The following is a 6,958-nucleotide window of genomic DNA, read 5'->3' as shown; positions in this document are numbered from 1 at the left end:
CAGCAGGCTCTGGGACTGAGGCAGGAAAATACGGTCTGGAGGCAGGGAACATAAGGCGGATTCGCACTTCAGCTATGACAGGACATGTCCTCCCCATGGGCACACAGCGAACAAATGACTTTGTAACTTCATTCTCTTCATTTACATAGGGCGGACCTCCAGTACAGGGTATTTAAACTCACAAAAACTCTTTAACGGGGCCCTTATAATAGTATAAAGCACATCTCTGGGTGGAGATTTAAGATGCTAATGAGACATGAATGGTATGAACAAGCGTGTACAGCTACTGCACACATGCACCCAGAGGACCACCCAGAACATGCTTCCTAGCAACACCTCTTCCCAGCTCCTTAGGAATAATCATGGAAGAGTCCCATAAAGGGAGCCTCCCTCAGGCCGGTCTCTGCTTCTCATCCTTGTGAGCAGCCCGCCCTGCACCCTGTCTCGCCCAGGGCATCCTGTCTGTTCTGCACCTCACTTCCACAACATTCTTTCTCCTTTGCAATGAATTCCGCTCGGCTGCTCCCACACTGTGGAGTGCACTTTCCTTCTCAATAAATCCCAGCTTTTGCTCTCCTCGCTTTATTTGTGCGTTTTGTCCAATTCTTTGTTTGAGAAGCCAAGATCCTGGACACCCTCCCTGGGTACAGTAACAGGGCTACAGAAGCCTTAGTGGGGGGATAATTGAGGGGGGAAAAGGCAGGAAGTAGGCGAGCCCCACCCACAGAGTCTCCACCCCCTCCTCCGGTCCTGTCTACACTGCATGAGCTAGAAGATAAAAATGTCAATTCCAAGGCCAGGGTGAGAATGAGGTCCTGCCAATCGAATGCCTTTCCCCAGGTCTGGAAGGGAAGGCAGGCAGAGGCCCATGCCAGGGCTCAAGTGCTGCTGCGCATGAGGGCGAGCTGTGCACCTGTGGCTTCCGCTGCAGCTGGTCACCTGCTTCCCCAGAGAAAGGCTTGGGTAGACGCACACCCCAGTGCTGTCACCAGCCTGTGGACGCCCTGAGGTGGCTGTGGCAGAGGTGGCGGTGAGGTGGCTCCCTGTCCCTGGACCACATGGCAGGTGCACTGGAGCTCAGGGTTCCAGGACAGCTTGGAAACCTGAGGTCTCCAGGGGCCCCTGCTGTGGACAGCTGGAGTCCTTCCAGGAAGTCCAGGTCCCAGAGCTGCCATCGAGAACATAAGCTTCTGATTTCCACTCTAGATCCCCCCGACAGAAAATACCCTGAATGACTGCTTTTCCTGCTCTGACTGAGCCACCGCTTGTACTCGCTTCCTGGGGCAGCCCTAACAAAGGACCACAAATGACAGAAACATCCCTCTCCCAATCCTGGGGGCCAGAAGTCTGAGATGCAGGGGTGGGCAGGGCTGGTTCCTTCTGGGGCTGCAACAGAGCCTCTGTTCTGGTCTCTTCTAGCTTCTGGGTCTTGCTGGCAACCCTTGGTCCTCTGTGACTTATAGAAGCATCACCCCAACCTCTACCTTCATCTTCACGTAACGTCCTAATGTCCATCAATGACAGACTGGATAAAGAAAATGTGGTACTTATACACCATGGAATACTGTGCAGCCATCAAAAAGAATGAGATCATGTCCTTTGCAGGGACATGAATGGAGCTGGAGGTCAATATCCTTCACAAACTAATGCAGGAACAGAAAACCAAATATCGCGTGTTCCCACTTATGAGTCAGACCTGAGCACTGAGTACATAGGAACACAAGGGAACAACAGCACTGTGGTGCATTTGGCGGGGGTGGCGGGGGCAGGAGGAGGGTGAGGATCAAAAAGTCACCTATTGGGTACTATGCTCATTACCTGGTTGATGAAATAATCTATACACCAAACCCCCATGACATGCAATTCATCTATATGGCAAGCCTGCACATGCAGCCCTGAACCCAAAATAAAAGCTGAAAGAAAGCTTGTCTCCAGGCTAGGTTGCCTTAGAAGGCACTGGGCATTTGGGCTCCCCCAGCTCTGGAATTTTTTTTTGGAGGTGGGGATCTATTCAACTCCCGGCTGCCTTCGAGCTTGTGTCCCGCAGCTGGCGTTGTGTGCAGTCCTGCCTTCTCCTGTCTGGTTTTTCAAGGCCCTGTGAGATTGCAGATAAGCCCAAGCTCCTCCGCATCTCCACGTCTGGCTCCTGCATGCACTAGGGGCTTCTTAGGGCCTGATGTACCGCACAGCTCAGCATACAGACCCTTCCTCATCCTTCCGCTGAAGTGGCCTGGCCCTGAGCTTCCCTCCCTCCCACGGGACGGCAGTGCCTCCACGGCTGACACCACCGCCCTCACCACCTTTCCCTCTCCCCACCTCTCCCCACATACCAGACTGTGAGCTTGGATTTACTCTGCTCTGTCATCTCTGGAGCCCAACACAACAAGGGGCCCAGAGCAGAAAGCTATAGACGTTAGTTCTGTGCATGAAGACATGGACCATGACATGAAAGATGCTGAGGGGAGAGAAATGGGAACAGGCCCAGGGGTGGAGGCAAGAAGATGGTGCTTCTGGGAATGAGAGAGAGGTGGGAAGGAGAGAACCACAAGACAGTGAGCTTTGTGCTTAGAGACTTTGTTTATTTAGAGGGTCAGGATTCAGTCTTGATATACAGACAGCCAGAGAGATTGAGGGTCGATCACACTCCTGAAAGAAGGAGCAGCTGTCAGGGTCTAAGGGGTCTGATCTGCCTCTGGGGCCTCAGTGGGCCGCTTTGGATCTTAAATGAGTGAGGAGCAGGGAGAGGAAGTTCAGGAGAAGTAGTAGGCAATGAGCCAGAAGGGGTCCTCAGTCAGTTTCGGGAGCACTGGTGTGGAGTGGATGAAGCCAGTGAGGACACAGTGGAGACAGTGGAGCACCAGAGAACCCAGGGCAAGGAAGCTGGGCAGCCGGGCCCTTCACCAGTCAGGCCACCTGCAGTCTGCAGTCAGAGCCTCAGATCTTACACTGGCAGCACACGGGGACACAGCAGCTGGACTGGCAGCAGCAGGGCTTGTAGCAGCTGGATTGGCAGCAGGATGATCCACAGCCTGAGAAGCAGCTACAGGGCTTACAGCAGCTGGACTGGCAGCAGTAGGGCTTACAGCAGCTGGACTGGCAGCAGTAAGGCTTACAGCAGCTGGACTGGCAGCAGGATGACCCACAGCCTGAGGAGCAGCAGCAGGGCTTGCAGCAGCTGGACTGGGAGCAGCCATAAGAACCACAGCCCCCCTTGGACCCCCCACAGGAGCCACAGCCCCCCTTGGACCCCCCACAGGAGCCACAGCCCCCCTTGGACCCCCCACAGGAGCCACAGCCCCCCTTGGACCCCCCACAGGAGCCACAGGCCCCCTTGGACACCCCACAGGAGACACAGCCTCTCTTGGAGCCCCCGCAAGAGCCACAGCCCCCTTTGCCACAGCTGGAGCAGGAACAAGCTGGCACACAGCAGCACATGGGCTTGCAGCAGCAGACAGGCACACAGCAGCCGGAGCCACATCCCCCACAGCCCGCACAGCCGGAGCCACAGCCCCCACAGCCTCCACAGCCGGAGCCACAGCCCCCACAGCCAGAGCCACAGCCTCCACAGCCGGAGCCACAGCCCCCACAGCCGGAGCCACGGCCTCCACAGCCGGAGCCACAGCCTCCGGAGCAGCCACAGCAGCCCATGGTTCTGGTGGATTGAGGGTGGAGCAGGTAGAGGAGCAGGTGAGAGGGAGGTGCAGGTGTGGAGCCCCCTGAGCCCGGGCTCTTTATATCCCTGTCCAGGGTCAGGTGAGAGGCTGGGCACACTGTCACTTCCTGGTTCCTGCTTGTGCCACTGGTCCCAGTATTCTCTTCTGCTTTACATTTTTATAAATAACTCCTGTTTTCCTCGCACTTTTCTCGAATGTGCTGTCAGGTCTGTGATGGAAGCGGCCCCTCAGTAAACACTGGCCCCGCGGTGAGTTTCCCTTTCCATGTGACAAGAAGGAAGCGATGGGCAGGCAGTGGCTCGCTCAGAGGCCTTGGTCTTGCCGAGGGTGATTTTGAGCCCAGGACTCCTGGCTTGCTCCCGGGAAGATTCCTCTGCGGGAGCATCGTGTCTTGCTTGGGACGTGCCTAGGCCCTACACCTTCACGGTCCACAGCAGCTCCTGGCCCGCGGGCTGTTTCCAAGGGTCCCAGGACCTGGGGCTTCAGCCCTCAGCTCAGCAGGGTCGTTTTCGGTGTAAGACTTTGTTGGAAGGTTTGCAGTGTTGACTGAGACGGGGATTTTAAGCGCTTATTCTGGAGCTTGCTGCGTGCTCCCCATGGAAAGTGTTCTCCTGTGATAACCGCGGTCTCTTCCAGGGCTTTCAGACCACTCGGGTGGCAGGGCTGACAGATACAGTACAGGATGCCTGCTGGAACTTGAATTTCAGATCATCGAAGGCTGCCTTTTGAGGAAGGAAATCCAAGCATTGCAAGGGGCAGACACTGCCTCTGCGCTGGGTCAGGACCCAGATCGCATTGTCTCCTGCAGCGGTTCCTCCTGCCGCCGCACGGTGTCGCTGTGAAGCGGGTTCCCCCACTGCGTGGCCGGCCCAGGGGCTCCCGGACAGCGGCACAGGCTGATGGCAGAGGCCCTTTCAGGGCCAGTGAGCGGAAGAGGATGCCCTGTCTGGGTGCCCGCCTGCTCCGGGTCCCGGGCTCAGCCTGGGAAGCAGCAACTACATTCGGGTGCAGGCCCACTGGATGCTAAAGAAAGCCGGTGGAGAGCAGGGAACCGGATGGCCATTTGCCCCCGTGACCACAATACCTGTGAGTGCCCCGAGCCCAGTCAACAGGCCTCAGGCCACGGTGTAAACACCAGCTGGCACTCGGTGACTCTTGCCGTGTATGCTGGAGCCCCACTCTGTTCTGGGGCAGGGGACTGTATCTCAGGGAGGAACAGAAAACCCATTAGGAGAGAGCCGCCTTGTGTTGGCTGTCCCCACCAGAGGCGGCATCCTCCAGCTCTGGAACAGAGGCAACAGATACATTTGCTTCCTGATACATTCGCATCCAGCGCCTGATACATTCGCATCCAGCGCCTGATACGTTCGCATCCAGCGCCTGATACATTCGCATCCAGCGCCTGATACATTCGCATCCAGCGCCTGATACATTCGCATCCAGTGCCTGATACATTTGCATCCAGCGCCTGATACATTTGTCCCAGTGCTTGATACATTTGCTTCCAGTACCTCGTATATTTGCCTCCAGCCCCTGAAGTAATGTATCAACACCCGCGCTGACTCCTAGTGACACCCTTGGATCAGCTCCTTCCCTCGGGTACAAGAGGACTTTTCCTTTTGTACTTTGGGAACATCTTCCCTTTCATGGGCCTTTGTTCTTCGTGGTCCATTGATGACCTTCGGGTTCGCTGAATTGGGCAAAGAGGATCATCAGAGGGCCTCTTACAATGCTCTGATGGAACAATCAACATGGCAGTGGTCTCACCCTGTCCCGTGGGGCACCCCACGATTATGTAGCTTTTGAGCAAATGCCCCCTGAAATGTGTGTATTATATAAGGTGCATATGCTCCTGTCTAGTCATTTGCTATTTTAATTTTAGTTAATTTTAATTTTTTTCACCTTTTCAGCGTAAAGCAGACATGAGTATGTTGTAGACTTTGCTCCTGTGCTCCACATTAGGAACTACCTCTGCAGACCCATTCTTAACTACTGTGGGTTCGTAGATTCCTCTGTGGAATTTTACAGAGCCTCTCTTTAAACAAGTCTACAAACATGCACAAAAACACACAACTTTACATAAAACTGTGCAGTATCCAGACAGGATCTGATGTCCACCTGTATCTGTAGGCTCCAGATCAAGAACCCAACAGAAAAGGGGGCACCAGGTAAGAGAGAGCTGGAAGGATTTCTCCTCCTAAAACGAGCTAGGCTGACCCCACAGATTTTCACTCCTCCACCACCTGAAACCACACTCAGATGAGAGGAAGGCTCAGGGGCGGTTTTTCCTGGGATAGTAAAGTGCTGGCTGATGCCGCACAGCAGAGAAGGCTCCAGCAGAAGGACTTGCAGAAGAAGCAACAAGGAGAAGGCCAGCAGCACAGTATGTTTCTCGCGACGAAGACGGCAGACAGCATGATGGCACGGGGCTTGGAGGCTAGGACATGAAGGGTGGTACAACACTTGCCTCTCTCTCTGTCTCTCTCTGTCTCTCTGTCTCTCTCTCTCTCTCTCTCTCAGTACTACTCCTTCTGGGTGAAGCCAGATCCTGTGCCAATAGCAGCCCTGTGGAGAGGCCTGCAGGTGAGAAGCTGAGGCCTCCCACCCACAAGCCAAGGCATGTACCATCCTGGAAGTGGGTCCAATACCAGCCGAGCCTTCAGGGGATGCAGCCTCAGACCCCCAGCCAGAACCACCCAGGAACATTTGGGGCCTGACAGAGAAGAATGAAAAGGGCTGTGTGTGGGTGCTCACATCTGCAATCCCAGCATTTTGGGAGGCTGAGGTGGGAGGATCACTTGAGCCCAGGAGTTTGAGACCAGTCTGGGTAACATAGTGATATCTCATCTCTACAAAAATGTACAAAAATTAGCTGGGCCTGTGAGCGCACACCTGTAGTCCCAGCTACTCGGGAGGCTGAGGTGGGAGGATTTCTTGAGCCCAGGAGGTCGAGGCTGCAGGGAGCTATGATTGCACCACTGCACTCCAGCCTGGGTGACAGAGCTTGACTCTGTCTCAAAAAAGAAAAAAAAGAAAAAAGAAAAAGGTAAGGCCAGTAAAACACAAGAAAATTTTAACTTCATTTCGTTATTAACAAATACACACAATTTCTGAATCAAATATTAAAGACTCCAATATGATTATTTAAAAATAGCAAGTCATAAGTAGGGTTTGTTCCAAGAATGTTAAGATGGCTCACCGTCAGGAAATGTATCATTGTAACTCATTACAAAAGTGCCTTGAGGGAGAGAATTCACACGTCCACCTCAGCAGGTGTAACAATT

General features: G+C 54.2%; 1 protein-coding gene across 1 annotated transcript, besides 1 other annotated feature; it reads right to left on the bottom strand.

Moving 5' to 3' along the window:
* Positions 479 to 978: an enhancer, noted in NCBI's record as "H3K4me1 hESC enhancer chr11:1653741-1654240 (GRCh37/hg19 assembly coordinates)". NCBI's record gives its function as "activates a minimal SCP1, AML or CMV promoter by ChIP-STARR-seq in naive H9 embryonic stem cells {active_cell/tissue: H9 hESC(naive)}" and the evidence as "EXISTENCE:reporter gene assay evidence [ECO:0000049][PMID:30033119]".
* KRTAP5-5 (keratin associated protein 5-5) lies at positions 2,559 to 3,714 on the bottom strand. The gene has a single exon (NM_001001480.3). The coding sequence runs from the start codon at positions 3,646 to 3,648 to the stop codon at positions 2,935 to 2,937; it is 714 nt and encodes a 237-aa protein (NP_001001480.2). The 5' UTR covers positions 3,649 to 3,714; the 3' UTR covers positions 2,559 to 2,934.
* Positions 3,715 to 6,958: the final 3,244 nt, after the last annotated feature.

The sequence above is a fragment of the Homo sapiens genome, chromosome 11 (genome assembly GCF_000001405.40).
Source record: "Homo sapiens chromosome 11, GRCh38.p14 Primary Assembly".
In the NCBI taxonomy this organism is placed as follows: domain Eukaryota; kingdom Metazoa; phylum Chordata; class Mammalia; order Primates; family Hominidae; genus Homo; species Homo sapiens.
The sequence above is the reverse complement of the archived record's forward strand: the minus strand, read 5'-3'. Positions and strand labels throughout refer to the sequence as shown.

Excerpts from the sequence above, each read along its gene's own strand:
- KRTAP5-5 (NM_001001480.3), bottom strand. The coding sequence starts at position 3,648 with ATGGGCTGCTGTGGCTGCTCCGGAGGCTGTGGCTCCGGCTGTGGAGGC.